The sequence below is a fragment of the Homo sapiens genome, chromosome X (genome assembly GCF_000001405.40).
Source record: "Homo sapiens chromosome X, GRCh38.p14 Primary Assembly".
Taxonomy (NCBI): domain Eukaryota; kingdom Metazoa; phylum Chordata; class Mammalia; order Primates; family Hominidae; genus Homo; species Homo sapiens.
The window spans coordinates 130,758,295-130,779,675 of record NC_000023.11 but is presented as its reverse complement, the minus strand read 5'-3'; the positions used below and the strand labels follow the sequence as shown (position 1 = coordinate 130,779,675).

The 21,381-nt window shown below is 37.8% G+C and overlaps 1 protein-coding gene across 17 annotated transcripts in view, besides 1 other annotated feature; it reads left to right on the top strand.

The window, feature by feature from the left end:
* Positions 1-21,381, top strand: part of ENOX2 (ecto-NOX disulfide-thiol exchanger 2) — a 280,885-nt gene that overhangs the window by 123,534 nt on the left and 135,970 nt on the right. The window lies entirely within an intron of this gene.
* Positions 3,307-3,356: an enhancer, noted in NCBI's record as "active region_29944". NCBI's record gives its function as "activates an Ori minimal core promoter by ATAC-STARR-seq in GM12878 lymphoblastoid cells {active_cell/tissue: GM12878}" and the evidence as "EXISTENCE:reporter gene assay evidence [ECO:0000049][PMID:35858748]".

The window sequence follows — 21,381 nt, the reverse complement described above, 5'->3', positions numbered from 1 at the left end:
TTCCCTATTATTTTCTTGTTATTTTCAGGATAGAGCTTTGCACGAAACTCTGCCTTTGTATCTGAATTTGACCAACTGACAGCTTCACTTGTCCCTAAAGGCTACTCAGACATTTGTGAGATTACATCCTTAGAACAGGCACAAATCAAATCTGGGTGCTTGTGAAAAAAAAAAATACCTGGCCCTAATGGAATCCTTGCCTTATTACAGCTGAGATTTCTTAAGTGCCCAAGGGAAACTGATAGGTAGAGTTTAAATGTCCTGCCTCAACTATGAAGTAGACCAGTAATCAGGATTAGACATTACTGCCATATTTGACCACATAATCTTTCTTTGTGGATCTGGTTGCTTTGTAGCTTTTATAAGATGAGCTCAGAATTCTTCAGAGTGTGTTTCCTCTTAAATTTTACCTTTTCCCCATGGAAATGTTTCCTTGGTGATGCTGTAGCTGTACAAATTGTCTAAGATGGCAGCAAATCCATTTATTCAGATGGTACTCTATAGCAAAAGAGTAGAAGATTGTTAAACCCATGTAAAATCACAATGCCAAGTTCGTTTCTCAAAGTTGCCAACTGCCTCCTGGTTTGAGAGCCATCTGGATTTGTAGAAGCAGAAATACCAACTCTTTCATGAAATACTTCCACTAAAGTGGAAAAAACCATGAGTCAACAAGGCCAACTGGATGATGACTAAAATCGAATGCATTGTTTTAAGCAACATCATGGTACAATAATATTCAAAGAAGGTGTCAGCTCTCTGGAAGAGTGGGAAACTACCCAGGAATAATTACAATACCAAAGTGAGCATCCAGGTGTGGGCAGAGTCCTATTTCCATTGTCTTTTCTCTATAAGCCTGGGTTGAAAGATAGATTTGTCCTTAAATGCGTCAAAAGTAGTATTGCCGAAGTTCATGTGAATAACGAATGACTCAGTGTGAAAAGAGGGATCTTCAGCCAGTTTTCATTTGCAATAATTATTTAATCACAAAAGTTCAAGATCTCCAGAAAGACCCTTCAAAATCAATAATAATTTGTATTGGTATGGTGATTGTTTCTTTCTCTTAATGTATTCTCATACTCATTGCGTTTTACACATGAGGTGCTAATCACTAGAGAAGAGAAATAACTTTATCTAAGGTAGACTAGCATCACCAGGAGTGTTATAATTAAATAAGGACCTCCAGAGAGTATCCAGTCTTGATCATAGACCTCCCAACTCCATTCTCAGCTTTCCTTTAGAAATTCTGGAAATCAAAATGATACTTGACAATATAAAGACAGTGAACAATTACAGCACTACAAGGCTAGATTAATAGGAGAAAGTGGGCCTGTAGAGCAGCAAGAAGAAATTTGGTCAGCCATAAAGAAGAACTATTATCAGAATGGGTTATCAGAAAACTTGTTCAGGCTCACTTGGAAGAGAAATATAAAAAGGAGATGAACACTCATCTGCTTGAGAGTACTTTTGTTTCCTTTCTTACCTGAAAGGAGGGCTACGAACCAGGAAACTTTTCTATGACACTTATAGCCTTTTGATTTACCTCAGACTCACAGGACTGAGACTTTTTATTTCATGTGTACTTTGAAGTCCACAGATGAAAGCGTTGATTGTTTTTAAAGAGAGAAAATGCCACCATTTTATATCTTGGTGTGTGGTATTTCTAGCATGTCAGCTGAATTATTATCTTGCCAAAGGCAAGAAGAGCCTATTGTTCCCTCAGATAGAATTAAAATAAGAAAAAGGGTAGACTAATAGCCCTACTCAGTTTCTTTAGTCCTTTGGACATTTTCATCTGATTACAGCTTCAAGAAATAAAACCATTATCTTGAAAACTGGAGGATCAAAAAAGTAAGCCTACTTTCTTTCTCAGGTCTGATAGAAGAAATCCAGTGTGAAGTTTTCATTTTCAAGGACTGTCCAGGGGAGGGCAGACAGGGTGGCACAAAAGAGGCAGGATAGAAAAATGGAAATACATCTCTCTTAAGTTGCCCGAATCATTGAAATAGCTTTGGAATGATTTTGTGACTTCATTGTACTTAAGTCATTAGGAATTCTCTCAGCAGACATGAAGTGTAAGTAGCCTGATACGTTGGTAATATAGAGGCTAGTGGTAGATGTTTAAGTCTAGTGTTTTAGAGTTGGAGACAACCTCAACTAACTCCAGCATTTTTTTTTTTTTTTTGAGAGAGAGAGAGTCTCACTCTGTCACCCAGGCTGGAGTGCAGTGGCTCTATCACAGCTCACCTCCCAAGCCTCAGGTGATTCTCTTGCCTCAGCTCCCCCCGAGTAGCTGGAACTACAAATGTGCACCACCACACCTGGATAATTTTGGTATTTTTAATAGAGACAGGGTTTCTCCACGTTGCCCAGGCTGGTCTCGAACTCCTGGGCTCAAAAGATCCACCCGCCTCAGCCTCCCAAAGTGCTGAGATTACAGGCATGAGCCATCATGCCTGGCCAAACTCCATCATTTTTATAAATGAAGAAACTGAGACCCAGAGAAGGGATTTATCTAAGGTCACATGGTTAATTCATGGCAGAATGAGAACTAGTTATTACCAGACCCATATAATCATTTCAAATTGGCTAGGACTGTGGCATGTAATTGATTCATTTTTACTGTGAAAGTGTATCTGTAACCTGGAAATGCTAACTTCTCTCATGCTAATAGTACTACGTGATTTGTCACAAGCTCACCTGGTGGTATGGGAGGCCCCGTATCTGTTTTGGCTGCTGCACAGGGGAAGGCACTTTGTTCTCAAGACAGAAAAGAGTTTGAGACTGGGAAATACCTATGAAGGAATTGCTTTCTTAGAGCAGAACTCGGGCAACTCAGCAAATTACAGAAGAATCTTTTTGTGACACCTGATTACTTGGTAAGGGACAGTTTGTGTCCTCCATCCCAGCCTACCCTTAAGGCCACTCCATTCAAGCAGGAAAACATTTTATACTTATGTTTTGTCTGTGGTTGTGTTAGGCCATTCTTTCATTGCTATAAAGAAATACCTGAGACTGGGTAATTTATAAAGAAAAGAGGTTTAATTGTCTCACGGTTCGGCAGACTTTATAGGAAGCATGGTACTGGCATCTGCTCAGCTTCTGGGGAGGCCTTAGGAAGCTTTTACTCATGGCAGAACTCAAAGGGGAAGCAGGCATGTCACATGGCGAAAGCAGGAGCAAGAGAGAGAGTGGAGGGGGAGACGCCACACTTTACAACAACCAGATTTCATAAGAACTCACTATCACAAGGACAGCATCAAGCCATGAGGGATCTTCCCCCATGACCAAAACACCTCTCACCAGGCCCCACCTCCAACATTGGGGATTATAATTCAGCATGAGATTTGGGCAGGAACAAATACCTAAACTATATCAGTGATTTAAACTTTGTTGTATAACTTCGTCTAGAGAATCTCTTTCAATTTCGTGATTATTGGGCAAAGATTTGTCTGGAAAAAAAATCAGTTTTAGGTGAGTAAAACTGAATTTCAGAGTAAGAGGATTCTTGCATTTTGAGAGGTTGTTTTCATCTCCTCCTAGCTTAGTAAAGTGCAGAAAGCAAATGTCATTTTTGTCCTTGGGACCTGTAAGGTCCTCGCTAGCCTTAATAAGGGAAAGGAGCACACTCAGACATGTAGTGAAAACTATACTGAAGTCTGTGCTTTTAGTACTGAATTTGACACTTATTATTAGACTTTTGGCCTTAGGTGGACCACAGAAGCCATTTCTAAGCCTCAGTTTCCAAATTTGTTTAATGGGGAAAGCAACTTAAAAGCAGTCAGATAATACTTTTATGGTTACTGCTCTGCTTGTTATGGTGTAAGAGCATGAAATAACCACACTGGTTTTCTTTTTCCAGTTCTGAATCAAACTGAGAAAAAAAAAACACAAAACACCTCAGGAGGAACAAAATATGGCATCGACTTTATTATAGATAAAATTATGTTGAAGAACATGGCTTGTGTCTAAGGCCTAATGAGACTTCCTACCACCTCTAGCTTCAAATGTATTCCTTGATACTCACCTGTGGAGATGAGTGAGCCTTCAGAGCAGACCATTTACCGTCCCAGCGCCCTTGAGAGTGATGGCCTGTGTCACACTTCAGTGGAAGCTAGAAATGAAGAGCAAAATGGGCCTGTAGGTCTACCTCTAGAAGATGGTGCCTGTGCCCTGACTAGGCTCTACTCACTCATAAAAGAGTTGGAGGGCATTTAGACCTGAGAGCCAGAATGCACAGGATAGGCCATGAATAAGTACTTATTTTTATTTTTTTATAATATTAGTATTTTTTTTTTTGAGACAGGGTCTCCCTCTGTCACCCAGGCTGGAGTGCAGTGGTGCTGTCTCAGGTCACTGCAGCCTTGAACTCCAGGTCTCAAGCAACCCTCCTGCCCCAGCACCCCAAGTAGCTGGGACTACAGGCCATGCCTCTATGCCTGGCTAATTTTTGTATTTTTTGTAGAGACGGGGTTTCGCCAGGTTGCCCAGCCTGGTCTGGAACTCCTAGCTCAAGCCATCCACGCGCCTTGTCCTCCCAAAGTGCTGGGATTACAGGCATGATAATCAGATAAGTCAATCTTGCTCCTGTGCCAAAGAACAAGCAGGGGTGAAAGCCCAGAGAAGTTTTTATGGTACTCTGTGTCCCCCTCCACAAACACAATGGAAATTTCTTCTTCGCCACAGAATGGCAACAAGTGGGGACAAGAACCAAACCCCTACAATCCCCAATATCACTGTTTAAGATTAGCATGATTTTGATTTTTCAAAGTCTTTTCCTTAGGATTTTTTTATACCAGGGGAAACTGGCAATGACAGTCCATTGTGTGGTATAGGTAAATAGGGTTGTTCTAGTACACATGTGTTACATTTATATTTTACTTCTTCATGTACAAAATTGAGACATTCCAAATGGAATCAAACTCATATCCTCTATTGTTGAAGTAGTACCTTACAATGAAGAGATTTCATTTTTATAAATTTGAAACACAGAATACTTCTGCTGCCATTTCAGCATTGTCACATGTGGTTGCAAACTCTACAAGCTTTCCCTTCTCTTCCACAACACCAAAGTATAACAATTAAAATACCGTTTTACTACTACTACTAATAGCTAATACCTATGGAACACCTACTGTGTGCCTGACACTATGTATTTCAAATATATTATTTGATTTTCACAGCAACCCTATCAGGTAAGCACAGTTATTATCCTCACTTTACAGATAAGGAAACAAACACAGATACTAATTTGTCCAAATAGTAATGTGTCCCAATAGTAAGTAGAGGAGGTGAGATTCAAACCCAGGCAATATAGCTCCAAAATCAGTGTCTGGAATCAATTAAATCAAAATGAAAATGGGGCCAGGTGTCTATGCTATTTCAGAGCACCCCAGAGGATTCCAATATGCAGCCACACTTGAGAAGCAGTGCAGCTAATTATACTGTATCAAAGGACTATTATACATGTACCTAGGCCACTGTGATTCAGAATGCTGGACATTTGTAGTATTCTGTGACACAGTGTGTCCAGAGTCCTCTATTAGGAACTGAAATGACAGAAGTGACAGTAACAGAGTAGACCAAAAGATGGTAAAGTGGTTGTGTAAATGTTGACCTCTCTAGGTATCTCAACACAGAAAGAAGAGACCACCTAATTTGCAATTTTCTCTTTCTCTGCTTTCTCTGCTCTATTTCCTGATGTCCATTGATTATCTACAGAAATAAAAATCCATAATGATGAAATTCCCTCTTTTTGTGTGCTAAGGGGACAGTCTTGATTTTTTTCCAATCTTCCATATCCTCCATAATGTGAGCTATTCAATTTAAGTCATGTAGATTGTAGTATTTCACATTGAGCAATTGCTTGTGTAATATAATTAATTTTAAAATATTTTGCTTATTCTGCATTTGAATTTTAAGCAAAAGCATCTTTAGTGTTCAAGCTGTTTTGTAGAATATGGTGAGGTGATGAGAGTGGTACACAAAACCATTAGAGAGATACTCAACTGCAGAAACAGAGTGTACTAATTTTGGGAGAGGGGGCAGGTTTCAGCAGGTGGCATTCCCTATCTCCAGCCACATTCTTCTGCATATTTGATTCAATAGAAACTATAACAGCAGCAGTAGCTTTTATTAAATATTGATTGTATGCCAACCGCTATGACCAAGTGCTTTACATGTATAAACTCAAGCAAACTTCCCAAGAAATCTGTAAGATAGACACCATTCCCCACTTCTTTACAGATTTTTTAAAAACCTGAGGCTTGGAAAACATAGGAAATTTTTCCAGGCGACAACTAATAAATAGTATAAGCAGATTTGAAAGAGGGAGGCAGAGTAACAGTTGTTAAGAGCACGTGTTCAGAATCCTGGCCCTGACTTTAGGCAAGTTATTGCAGCTCTTGAAGCCTAGTTTCTTTACCTACAAAATAGAGGTAATAATACCAAGTGCACAGGGTTGTTTTAGGATTCAGTGAGAAAACGAATAAATAGTGCTTAGTGCCTGGTTTTCTTTTATTCAGTGAATATTTATTTAGTCTTAATAAGTGTGAGGCATAGTGGTAGGCTTTAAGTTACCACAATAAGCTGTGAATGAGACAGAATCCAATTCTGGCCTTGAGATGCTAACAGTCTAGTAAAGAAGACAGTCATTAAGCAAATAACTACGCTAACAATTATTTGCAATTATGCTGAATGCTATGAAAGAGTGACAGGTCGTAGTGAACACTCAGTAAATAAGAGCAAATATTTACTGAGTGTCTTTTACGTACTAGGCACTATGCCAGGTAGAAGATTGAGTGCAAGTGCACAATTGGGATGAAGAGTGGAGGCATTTTCATGAAATTTTATGTGAAATTAGGGTGCAGCTAAAGAAGCCATCTGCTTTCTTCTGGTCGGTCAAGGAAGCTTCGTGGGGAGGAGGTAAAACGTAGAAGATGCTTGGTGTAGTTTATTGGAAAGATAAGAGATCAAGTTGAAAACATCCCATCTTTGCCCAAGATTAGTTCCTGGAGATTGTGTAAATCTTGTAATGTGAGAGGCATTCCCAGCATGAGTGGCCTTTTTATCTGGCAAGAGGCTTGTGTGACAAACCACAGTGACCAGGCTTTTTCTCTGAGATGAACACTAAGTGCTGAATTTGCTTCAGAGCTTGACATAAAGTCTGAGCAGGCAACAAGTCATAACTACATACCGTTTTCAGATGCTGATTCACATATCACCTCATACAAATACAGTGGTTCTGCTGGCAAGCTGTTTTCTAATCTGGCCTTTTTTATTCCCCTCCATAATTACCCTGATCTAGGATGAACAGCCTGAGAAACATTGACTAATGCATCCTAAATTACATTAGCAAGGCAACCACAAGCTTTCAGCTTCTCTTGATTTTGTGTGAGGTCTCTGTTAAGCAGTTATTACCACATTAGGTGTGCAGAGAGGACTACAGATCTTCCAGGCTGCAGCTTGCCATCAGTTAAGACTGTCATCCTTTGCTACAAAGCACCACACTCTCAGTGGCATTGCCTACAAAGCGGGAGATGCCTTTCACTTTTTGCCCTCCTGTCAAACAGCCAGTCAGTCGAGTAGAAAGCTTTGTCTTGCAGCTCAGACTGCCCAGAAGTATTTTCTGCCTTGATTGGAGCAAGTGAAGAAGTGGTAGCTAAGGAACTTTACTCTGCCTTCCTTCTGGGCCCCTAACTGATGTTTACTGTAACTTAGGACTTGGCACACTAGTAAGTGAAAGTCTTTTCACCATAACCCTGTGAAGAAGGTCCTATTAGTACTCTCATCTTGCATATGAGGTAAGTGAGGTTCAGAGGCTCACTGGATTGCACAAGATGAGACAGCCAGTAGGCTCTTCAAACGCAGGTTTTTAAATGACAGTGAGACCTGTGCACTTTGCATTATGCCCCACTGCTTTCTAAGATTTCTGAAGAAGGAAGTGATTTGATCTGAGCTAGACTTTCAGAAGATACTCTAACCAGAAGGTTATCATGGATTATAAAAAGGCAAAACTAGAACTGGGGAGACCAGGTTGAAGACTTTTGAAATAGCCCAGGGAAGTGATATATGGACCTGAGTCAGTGTTGTGGAAATAGGGATGGAGAAGAGGAGATAGATCCAAAAAACTTACTGGTGGTTTATCATTCGGAACTAATAGGGCTTGAAGAGTTGTGGAGCCTAGAAACGAAAAAAACTATATTAAAATCATCTGGCCCACTTATCTATGCAGGGTATAATTATGCCCACTTTTACAGGTGAGTCATCTCAACTGTGATTCAGCCTAAGTGACTTGTCCAAGGTCCCAAGCTAGTTGAGGCCAAAAGGAGCTGGGACTCAGAACTCCTTCCTAGTATAATCCTCTTTCCACTAACACATGGGATCTCCCAAATCTTTGTTTTATTATTTTAAGATGTTATTATTGAAGCACATAAAGGTACACAAATTATATATGTACACCAATGAACTTTCACAAACAGCATACTCGTATAACAAGCACCTGAAAGATGGCACAGAGATTTCTGGCACCTCAGAAGACTCCTGTGCCCTTTTCCAGTCACTTCCCCACAAAGATAATCTCTACCCTTACTTTCTCTCCCTCTTTTTAATAAGTGCCTGCTGGGCCATATCAGAGGTTGGGAAATTTACTATTGAGATCCTCCTGTTGATGGATACTTAAATTATTCCTGTCTTTTGGCTGCCACCACAAACAGTGCTGCAATGAACAGCCATGATCGTGCTGCTTTGTACACGTGAACAAGTATTACTCTAGAATAGACTCCAAGAAGTAAGTTTGCTGGGTTGAAGGGTTAAGGGCCTTGTACATTTTGATGACGAATACTACCACAATGGCTTCTGCAAAGGCTTCACCAAGTCAGAATCTCAACCCTGGTATTTGAGTCATTTCCTGTCTTCTTGCCAGTGCATGATATCATTAATCCTATAAATTTTTGCCAATTTGACAGGTCAGGAATGATAGCTCCTTACTGCTTTATTTGCATTTTTGTGATGAATACTGAATTTGAGCATATTTTTCAAATGTTTACTAGTCCTTTGTGTTTCTTTTATCAATCATTTGTGATATCCTTTGCCCATTTTTCTTTTTTTTTAAATTATGGACTTGTAAGGGTTCTTTTTATGTCATGTAAATTAATGCTTTCTCTGTTAAATGTGTTATAAATGTTTTCTCATGTATTTTAACACTGTTTGTGCTGTGTTCTTTCACATTGTCTGTTTTATAAAGTTACTTCCCTTTTGTAGATTCTCTAGTCATTCCTTTAAGCATGGAAATCCACACTTTCTGGAGTTTTCAGAGCAGCCCCAGTGTCACATGTTCTATCCCATTGCCCCCAAAAGTACAAGTGCGTATGTCAAATTACGTTTTCCTAATTCTATAATTAGAAAATCTAGTCATCCCACCTACAGTGGTTGGCAGTAAAGCTCTTGGTCTGTTTTCTAGACAGGCTCCAGGTGCTCTTTGAGGGAAAAATAGGGTAGCAGAACACACCTGTCTTAGAGCTGTGGAATCTGGTATGTGCTAAAGGGAATGTGAATATGGTATAAATTCTGGTCATTCTAACATCGTATCACCAGCTGTCTTTTGCTATGACATTCAGATAGCTTAGGCACGTTGGAATGTTTGGTTGCCACTTGAAAGTGTTTGATTACACAGAATGAGCTCTGGAAGAGTTCTGTCTCATGTCTATAAAGGGAAATGGAACGTCTTCTTCTTTTGGCACATGGAAAACATCTTAAATTTCTATCCATATTATTTAGGACTGTAAAAATTTGTCATCTCTAAGAAATAAAAAGTTTGCTAATCGCATTTTTAAAAATGCTCTCAGGACAATATTTAGCCTATTTATGCAAGCCATTTGGAAGCATTCTCAAGAGCAGACAATTGCAAACATAATATGCCAATATGTTTACTCGGCAAACATGTATTGGATGCCTACTGTGTGTCAGGTGATGTTGGATGGAAGGGTAGATGAATATGCTAATTTCTAGCAGAAACCGAGACTTGAGTAAGACCTAGCTCCAGTCTTCAGAGTGCGTACATCTGGTAACTAGAAATTATTTCCTTCCACTGATGAAAAACACTTTCCTAGGAATTCTAAAGGGACTACATTTGTTAGTTCTTAGTTAGAATTACTGAGTTTACATGAAAGTAATAAAACTGAATTTACTCTCATTTAATCAGTACCACTGCCTATTTCCTGCATTTTTCCCTCAGCAGCCCCATTATTATCCTCTGATTTCAGGAAAAGCCAATGTGGGCATTCAAGTAAGCAAAAAAGATATCTTGTCCTTTTCCAAAATTTCCCTTGTCCAAATGTTAGTGACATCTTTAGGTTATGTAAATGGAATTGATCTTGGTTTGGATTGATAGGTATTTAGATGGTAAAAATAAGAAAACACTGTGAGATGGGGGCTTAAGCCTGCTTAAGCCTTAATTGTCCTAAGAAGGAATGACATATTTTTCACTGAGAAATGTTCTGGGGTGATAATTGGCTTCCTGTTGCAGGCTGAACATGGCTTGAGAAGAAAATACTTCCCCTAGATTATGAAACAGGCAGCATTGGTATTGTATTTCTAAAATTAATTCAGTAAACATTTGCTCCAATAATTAGGCTTCATAGAGCGTCATGCGGAGGGTGCATTTTCCTTTGTGTGCAATTTAAAACTTTCTTAAGAGTAAGTCAGCTTAAAAAAAAGACTATGAATCTTAGACCGATCATCTTCTTCCCCTCTCTACCCTACCCTGTCACTCCCATCCAAACTATATCTGAGAAAGTTCTAAAGAATTAGGCCTTGAAGGATAGCTCTATAATTTAGAATTCTGTCACTCTGTTCTCTGCCCTCCCCACAACACACATCATTTCTCACAATTGTTCTTTGAAAGGATCAGGCTGCTTTTGCATCCAGGATAGCCCCCGAGTTATTTTTGCAAGTTAGTGGCAGCCCAGTAATTTTATCCCCTTCCCTGCCTGTGGAGCAGGTGCTCAAGTCTTTCAGTTTTCTGTGGCCACTCATGGTTAGTTTTCCTCCAGGACAAGAATTTGTAGCCCTGTGCACCTCCAGAAAGACCAAGCAATCCCCATATACAAGTCTACTGTTAGACTGAAAGCTTAGTTGGGAATAAGAAAAGAATCAGATAATGTGGCAAGGTGGTGGACAGCAGGCTGGGGTGGTTGGAAAGAGGGGACACTTAGAGATCATTTTGTTCAGTGATTCTCAACCAACATGCCTAAGGGTGTATTTATCTGACACTATAGCAGTGATCCTTGTGAGAGGGTGATAGCAGCTAGAAGGAGGTATTCCTTTTGGAGCAGCTAACAAAAAACATTTACAGGGAGAAGGGCATTTGTGTAGTTTTAGAAAACTGCTCCCTGCCCCCAGCTTTAATTGAATTAAGTTTCCAAACATACAGCAGTTCAGTATCAGAACTATGCCTTGATTTTGTGTCTTCAGACTCCCTATCCTGTCTTCTTTTTCATTGCATTCTGCTATGGGAAAAAGAAAAGAGAAAGGAAGTAACATAACAAGGGAGAAAGAAGAGAAAAGAAAATAACTGCCTGTTATGACCTGCCTGCCTCCTCCACTGTCACTTAGTCTCTTAAAAGTGTCAAATAGCCTGAACCCTTGACTTCAAATGCCAGCCACCCTGTCTCCCTTGAGCCCAGTTACAGCAACATTCAACTCCTTGCTAAAACATGCCCTATGCTTTCAATCCATTCCCTCTACCTGAAATATCCTCCTCCTCTTAACCAGGCAAAATCCAATATGCTCCCCCAAATGAAAATGTTTTACCACTGTGTGGGTTACTTTATGCAAAGATATCTGTAAGTAGTAACTTTTGGCTAAATAAGTATGCAGTGCACTTCCACAGTTTTCATCTTATTTGAAGGAAAAACATTGTCAAGACCAAGCTCCAACATGGCGACTTCTACCATTAAGGCTACCCAGATCTTCTAGTCTGAATTAAATTCTCCTGTGTTCAAATTAGCATTTTTCTCTTATAGCACTTACTATTTCTTGTGTATTATAGGAATTTATATGCACACGTAGATTCTACTAGCTTGTAAGTTCATGAAGTCAAGGTTCATGTCTTACTCATCTTTGTATCTCTTCTATCAGTACTCATCACAGTGCTACATGCATAGTAGGTACCCAGTACATGTATTGAGTGAATGAGTAAATTTTTCCTACTTTCATAGGATTTTTTTGAACTCAAAATATTTTCCGTGAGATTGTCCATATTCCAGTGACAGAAGCATTATCATGTTTATTCATTCATACATTCATTCATTCCACAAATACTTATCATATGCCTACTCTGTGCCAGGTACTGTTTTAGTTGATAGGTATACAGCAGTAAATAAAACAATATATGTTCCTGCTCTCGTGTAGCATTCTAGTGAGTGGGGCAGATAATAAACAAATAGATATATAAGTTCTGGTACTTAATTACCTCAAAAAGCAATAATAATAAAGCAAGTTAAGGGTACACAAAATGAACAAAGGCTACAATTTTGTCTTTCCTTCACAACAGTATCCTTGACCCTACCTCACCCCACCCAGTAACTAATACAGAGCTAAACATATAGTTTACTGCCTGTGATATTTACTGACTTTTGCAACATTCTTATGAAGTAGTAGAGTAAGAGCCAGTATTGATTATGGCTTGAAAGCTTGGGCTCTGGAAACTTCGGCTTAGAGCTGACATCCATAGATTAGTTTGTGATCTTACCAGTAATTAGTGTCTCTAAGCTTTCATTTTCTAAATCTGTAAAATGGAGAAAATAGCACCTACCTCATAAGGTGATTTTGCAGATTACATGAAATAATGTCAAATTACTTATTGTGAAGACTACATGAAATAATGAATGTAAAATTCTTCAGAATATAATAACCCAGAAATAGACCCATGTGCATATGGAGGTCTGATGTGTGACAGAGGTAGCATGTCAGATCAGTGGGAAATTTGGAGACTAACAAATGGAGCTGGAAAAATGGTTATCCATATGAAGAAAAATGAAAATAAAACCTGCCTCCCACCATATATACAAGATCAATTACAAGAGTATACATTTCAAAACAGAATTCCAAAACTTTTAATAGAAAATATCATAGAATATCTTCCTAACCTTGAAATAGTGAAAGATGTGTTAAGGCACAAAAAGAATCGACTATAAAATAAAAGATTGGTACATTTAACTGTATTAAAATTTAAAACTTTTTTCATCAAAATACATGTTAGAGAATGAGAAAAGACAAGTTACAAACTGAGAGAAAATATTCTTAAAATACAACTGGCAAAGAAATAATATCAAGAATACATAAAGAAGTTGGAAAAATTATTAAGAAAACATAAGCAGTCCCATAGAAAAAATGGACAAAGGACATGAACAGACATTTCAGAAAATTGTACACACACATTTGGCCAGTTAGCTTGTTCAGAGATAAAACATCATTATGAATCAGGAAAATGCAAATCAAATCACATAAGATATCTTTTATACCCAGTTGGTTGACAAAAAATAAAAAGTGACAATACCAAGCAGTCCTTCTAAATTGGGGTTCCTGGAAAGAACAAAGTACTAATGCCTTAAGACATCTATTGCATATAAATAATTGATTTCTTTCTTATGTAATTAGAATAATACTAGATATATACTATCTTTTAGAGAATTGAGAATATAGATAGACACTCAAATAATTGTCTATGTTCTGTGGTTCAGATGAGGAACCCATGCTAAGAAAGGAAAGTGTTAGACATATGAAATTCTTGAGAATAATAAAAAGCCCAGAAATGTAGAAGCACATGATTTCTTATGTGTTATTTGTAGGAATATATACAAATTGCTGCAAGCAATTTTGGCATTTTCTCTGAAAGTTGAACATACATATACCCTGTGACCCCAAAATTGTACTCCTAGGTAAATACTCAAGAGAATCTTTGATTCATTCATGGATAACAGGAGACACATGCAAGCATATTTAAAGCAGCACAATTCACAATACAAAAATCTAGAAACAACCTAAATTCTCATCAGCATTATTAATAGATTAATAAAATGTGGTATAGTCATGCAGTGGCATATTATACAGCATTCAGAACAAATGAACTACAACCACACACAAAATATGGATTAATCTTAGCAATATAAAATTAGGTGAAAAAGGAAGGCCTAAAAGATTACATAGAGCATGTTATATTTTTATGAAGTTAAATATAAAATTAAAACATATAATTTTGAGATTACATATAGGTATAATAAAACTATATAAAAAGAAAAGCAAGTGGATAATGAACACAGGATTTAGGAGATGGTTACCTTGGCTAGGAGGAGGGAGGGAGGTAGGATGGGGATGAATAACTCTTATATTTAGATGTAGATTATTATCAAGATCTTAGCTTTTATTTTGGGTTGTAGGTTTACAGGTGCTTATTACATTACTTAAAATAACTGGCTAAATAACTAGCGGACCACTGCTGAGAGTGTGTCATGAACCAAGTGTCATGACTGGTCCAATTTAATGTACCTGAGACCCTAAAATAAATACAAATTCATAAAGTATGTAGCCCAATGCTTTTAATATAAAATAAGGCTGGGTAAATGACAGTTGTCATTGCTAGCATTACTTATTCCTCCTACTCCTCATTTTTCTTTCTGTCAAGCAATCATTATCTTCCTATTGTGTCTGATAATTAATAATTCTGAGAAATATTAATTTGCATGAGATCACCCCAAATGACTAAGCAAACTAGTTTAAAATTTAATAGTTACTGAAATTTCAACCTTTTATAAATCCACTAAACATCTTTCATTAAATTGTACTTTTTTGTTAATTATGAAATTACTCTATAGATGTACTTTTAGGATGTTACCAACAACAAAAGCTTTAAGCTCTGCATATTATGACTTTGGTACTCAAAATCATAATTGTATATTAATCTAATAGTGGCAGATGGTACTGAATTAGGGCAATGTGCTAGAAAACTAAGGTGTATGATGAATCAGTTGTTAGAGAAAAAATTGTGCTCTTAGCCTGGATCTGCAAGTCTGTTAGCTATGATTGATTGATGGATTGATTGATTGGACCTTACCTAGTACCTTTTCTTCATTCTTTGCTACACACACTCTTCTTTTCCCACCATCAAAAAAAAAAAAAAACTGTACTATACCTTTTTAGGAAACAAGTTTTACTGTCTCAATGGAGAAAAAATGACTTGGAGGTGGTTATCGGATCTCAGTGTTCTTTTGTGGTTGGGGGTTCAATGTGTAATGGGAAAAAATGTAAAAGACTAGCAGAAGATGAAATCATATGAAGAAATTAGGTTATATATGTCCCTTTAACCATGAGCATCTTAAAATTTAAGACAAATCGGGAAACTTCCACTTCCAGAAGGATGGATTAGATGTGCTTTTTCCTATTCCTCCCACTAAGTACAACTAAAAACCCTGGATATTATATATTTAAAAAATCCTAAGAAGGCTGAAAGCTGCAGAGAAGGCAGATTGTCTAGGGACATCAGAACTTGAGGCGTGACATTCCTCAAGTTTTTTGGATTTTGTTTTTGCCTCATATCTCATACTCGGAGATTTTGGTTTTGCCTCATATATCTCGTACTTGGAGTTGAAAAAAACTGGTAACTCAGAAACACCAATGGGTACAGACAAAATAAAAGCCCCAACAAAAGCGTACGCTCTTTAGCCAAAGGACTAGGAAGCCTAGTAACAAGGAAAACTTGTAGACAATAGCTAAGCTCTCTACTCTAGCCAGACACCAGACACACACACAAATTGTGGTCCTACTCCTACCCACTCCCAACCAAGTAGGGAGCATAGATTTCTACCTTCATGAAGCTTTAATGAGGCACATCAACACTTCTGCCAGGGGTCTCCACCAAGATCATATCAGAGAAGGCAAAGTACCAAGCTGGAACTTTTTTTAAAATTTTATTTTTATAGAGATGAGGTCTCACTATGTTGTCCAGGTTGGTCTCAAACTCCTGAGCTCAAGTGATCCTCCTGCCTCGGCCTCCCAAAGTGCTAGGATTACAGGTGTGAGCTGCCATGCCCAGGCTGAAGCTGGAACTTTCATCCCCACTGGCCACAATGATCCAACCCACTCCTATCCCACTGTAACAGGAAAGGCCATCTGGGGAGCCTGGACTTCTGTTTGTCTCTGACAGTTAACAGTTATGAAGGTGCTCCTACCCACTAAAGTGGTATCAGAGGAGACCTCCAGGAGATTCACGACTGTATTTATCACCCAGAAATAAAAAACCACTCCTGCAAAGTGTCATTGGAGACTACTGGGGAGCTGGAACTCCCACCCCTGCCCATCAGTAACAAGGAGACTACCTCCCTCAGATATCACTGGAAGGTGAGTAGGGAACCTGGACTTCTACATCCATTTGGCAATAATGAGGCAATAACACCCCCCTCCCCTGCCTGAAACCTCGAAACATCAGGAAGGAAGAAAGAACACAATAAGCAAAACTATGGGAAAACAATCAAAAGAAAGCAAGAGTGACTATTTTAATATAAGATAAAGTAGACTACATTGCAAAGAAAAGTTCTAGGGATAAAGAGGAAGATTATATAGTGATAAAAGTATCAATTCACCAAGAACACATAGCAATTCTAAATGCATATGGACCAAAGTACTGCAAAATGTGTGAAACAAAAACCGATATAACTGAAAGGAGGATTAGACAAATCCATAACTATAGTTAAGTACTTCAACATCCCTCTCTCAATAATTGATATAACAACTAGATGGAAAATCCACAAGGGTATCAGGACTCAGCAAAATAATCAAAGAATAGGATCCAACAAGAGCAAAATACACATTCTTTTTAAACACACAATGCATACCAAGATAGACTACATCGTGGGTCATTAAACAAACCTCAAAAAATTATTAAAAATTTGAATCATATAGAGCATGCCCTCCAACCACAATGGAATAAAACGAGAATTCAGTAACAGAAAAGTAATAGGAAAATCTCCAAAGACTTGAAAACTAAACAACACACTGCTAGATAAACCATGGGTCAAAGCAAAAGTCTCAAGCAATTTTTATGAGACAGCATCTTGCTCTCTCACCCAGGGTGGAGTACAGTGGCATGATCACAACTCATTGCAGCCTCGACCTCCTGGGCTCAGGGAATCCTCCCACTTCACCCTCCCCAGTAGCTGGGACTATGGGCATGCACCACCATACTCAGCTAATTTTTAAATTTTTTTTTGTAGTGACAGGGTCTTGCTATGTTACCTACCCAGGCTGGTCTCAAAGTCCTGGCCTCAAGTGATCCTCCCACCTTGGCCTCCCAAAGTGCTGAGATTACAGGAGTGAGCCCAACCAAGTATAAAAATTTTAAAAACACATTGAACTGAATGAAAATGAAAATACAACATATCAAAATTTATGGGAAGCAGCTAAAGTAGTGCTGAGGAGGAAATTTATAGTTGCAAATATATACATTAGAAAAGAAGCAAAGTCTCAAATGAATTAATCTAAGTTCCCACCTTAAAAGTTTAGAGAAATAAGAACAAAATAAACTAAAATCAAGACGGAGGAAGAAATACTAAAGATAAGAAGAGAAATCAATGAAATTGAAAACAGAAAACAAAGAAACAAGTAACTGAATCTTTGAAAAATATCAATAAAATTGACAGTCCTTTAGCAAGACTGACAGAGAAAAAAAGACGTACAGTACCAATATGAGAAATGAAACAGAGGCTATCAGTACAAACTATCAATAATGATATAGTTTGTATATTTGTCCCCACTCAAATCTTGTGTTGAAATGTAATCCCCAGTGTTGGAGGTGGGGCCTGGTGGGAGGTGATTGGGTCATGGGGGCAGAACCCTCATGAATGACTTAGTGCTGTCCTCATGATGGTGAGTTCTTAGGAGATCTGACCATTTTAAAGTGTGTGGCACCTCCCCCTGCCCCAGCCCTTTGCTTGTACCTGCTTTCACCATGTGACATGCCTGTCCCCCATTTTGCCTTTGTCCATGAGTAAAAGCTCACTAAGGCCTCCCCAGAGGCAAAGCAGATGCCAGCACCATGCTTTCTGTAAAGTTTGCAGTACGATGAGTCAATTAAACTTCTTTCCTTTATAAATTACCAGTCTGAGCTATTTATTTATAGCAATACAAGAATGACTTAACACAGATACTAAGGGACTACTATGAACAATTCTACCTACATAAATTTGACAACATACATGAAATGAACCACTTCCTCGAGAAATATAAACTACCACAATTCATCCAAGTTTAAATGGATAATTTGAATAGCCATATAACTATTAAGAAAGTTGAATTCATCATTTAAAATCTCCCAAAATCAAATCTCTGGGGCGAGATGGTTTCACTGGAGAATACTACCAAACTTATAAAGAAGAATTACCACAAATTCTATAAAATCTCTTCCAGGAAATAGAAGAGGAGAGAACAAGTTCCAATTGATTCTATGAGACTAATATTACACAAATACTAAAAATGAGATAAAAGCAGCCCAAAGTGAAAAGTGCAGACCAGTATTCTTCATGAATACAGACGTAAAAATCCTTAACAAACTATTAGTAAGCCAAATTCAGGAATATATTGAAAGAATTACACAGCATGGCAAAGTAGGGTTTATTCCAGGGCTACAAGGGTGGTTCAGTATTTGAAAATCAATCAATGTAATCTACCATATTCACAGGCTACAGATTAAAAATCACATAATTTTGTCAAACAATGCAGAAAAAGAATTTGAAAAACTTAAACATCATCCATGATTTAAAAAAAAAAAAAACCTCTCAGAAATAGGAGTGGAGGCTAACTTCCTCTTTTTTTTTTTTTTTTTTTTTTTTTTTTTTTTTTTTGAGATGGAGTCTTGCTCTGTCACCCAGGCTGGAGTGCAGTGGCATGATCTCAGCTCACTGCAACCTCCACCTCCCAGGTTCAAGCTATTCTTCCACCTCAGGCTCCCGAGTAGCTGGGACTACAGGCACCCACCACCACGCCTGGCTAATTTTTGTATTTTTAGTAGAGACAAGGTTTCACCATATTGGCCAGGATGGTCTCGAACTCCTGACCTCGTGATCCACCTGCCTCAGCCTCCTAAAGTGCTGGGAGCCACTTCCTCACCGTGTCCAGCCACTTCCTCAATTTGATAGAGAATTCACAAAGCACCTACAGCTAACATTGTATGTACCTGTGAAAAACTGAATTGCTTTTCCCCTAAGATCAGAAACAAGGCAAGGATATACACTCTTATTCAACATAATGTTGTTAGTTTTAGCCAATGAAATAAGGTGGGAAGAAGAAATAAAAGGCTTACAGATCAGAAAAATGAGGGAAGATGAAATAAAAGGCTTACAGATCAGAAAAGTGAAAATGTCCTTATTTGCAGATGACATCACCTGCATAGAAAATCCCAAGAAATCTACAAAAGGAATAAAGAAACAAAAAAGCTCCTAGAACTAATAAGTGAGTCCATTAAGGTTGCAGGATACATGATAAGCATACAAAAATCAATTGTATTTATCTATATTAGAAATGAACACACGGACACTGAAATTCAAAAGACAATACCATTTGAAGTAATCCAAATAAAATGAAATAATTAAATATAAATTTACTGAAATGTGTACAGGAGCTGTATACTGAAAATCACAAAACACTAATGAAAGAAATCAAATAAAACCTAAATGAATGGAGTAACACATTATGTTCATGTAGAAATCACAATATAGTAAATATGTCGGTACTCATGACATCAATCTTTAGATTCAATGCAATCTCTATCAAAATTTTAGCAAGGTATTTCTGAAATAAAGGCAAGATTATCCTAACATTTATGTAGAAAGGCACAAGTCCTATAAGAGCTAAATCAATCTCAAAAAAAAAATAAAAATAAAGTGGGAAGAATCAGTCTACACAATATTAAATTTTGCTATATAGCTACAGTAATCAAGACTGTGTGGTGCTTGTGGACAGATACAGATCAATGGAACAGAATAGAGAACAGAGAAAACTACCCACATAAATGCACCCAACTGACTTTTTTTTTTTTTTTTTTTTTTTTTTTGGTACATAGTCTCGCTCTGTCACCCAGGCTGGAGTGCAGTGTCGCTATCTGGGCTCATTGCTGGTTCCAGCAATTCTCCTGCCCCAGCCTCCTGGGTAGCTGGGATTGCAGGCACACGCCACTACACCTGGCTAATTTTTGTATTTTTAGTAGAGTCGGGGTTTCACCATGTTGGCCAGGCTGGTCTCAAACTCCTGACCTCAGCTGGTCCAACCGCCTCGGCCTCCCAAAATTAATTTTTCAAATGTGCAAAAACAATTCAGTGGAGGGCATCTGACCTTTTCAGTGATACTGGAGAAATTGGACATCCATGGGTAAAATTAATGAACCTCAATCTAAACCTTACTCCTGTAAAAATATACTCAAAATGGATCATGGACTTACATTTAAAATATAAAATTATAAAACTTTTAGAGAAAAAAATAGAAGAAAATTTTCAGGACCTAAGGTTAGACAAATAATTCTTAAACTTGACACCAAAAACACAGTCCATAAAAGAAAAAAATTGATAAATTAGACTTTATCAAAATTACATTTTTATTCTGGGAAAGACCGTGTTAGGAGGATAAACAGAATGGGAGAAAACATTTGTAAACCACATATCCAACAAAGAATTAGTATCTAGGATATATAAAGAACTCTCAAATTCAACGGTAAAAAAAATAAATAATTCAATTAGAAAATTGAAAAAAGACATGAACAGACATTTCATGTAAAGTATATGCAGGCGGCAAATAAGTGTTTTAAAAGATGGTCAATATCATGAACCATTAAGGAAATGAAAATTAAAGTCACAATGAGATATCACCTTTCAGAATGGCTAAAACAAAAAATAATGACAGCACCAAATTCTGGCCAGGATTCAGAGAAACTAGATCACTCATACATTTCTGATGGGAATGTAAAATGGTATAGCCATGGGGAGAAAGTTTGGCTGTTTCTTAAAATGCCTAAGAACTCTTGCACATTGATCCCAAAGAAATGAAGACTTCATACATGAATGTTTATAGCTTTTTATTTATAATAGCCAAAAAGTACGAACAACCCAGATGTCCTTCAATGGGTGAGTAGTTAAATTGTGGTATATTTGTACCTTGAAATACTAATTAAGTATAATGAAGATCAAAGTGTCAACACATGCAACAACATCGATGAATTTCCAGAGAATTATGCTGAGTGAAAAGCCAAGCCTGAAAGGTTACATGCTGTATGATTCCATTTATATAACATTCTTGAAATGACAAAATTATAGAAATGGAGAACAGACTGGTGGTTGTCAGGGG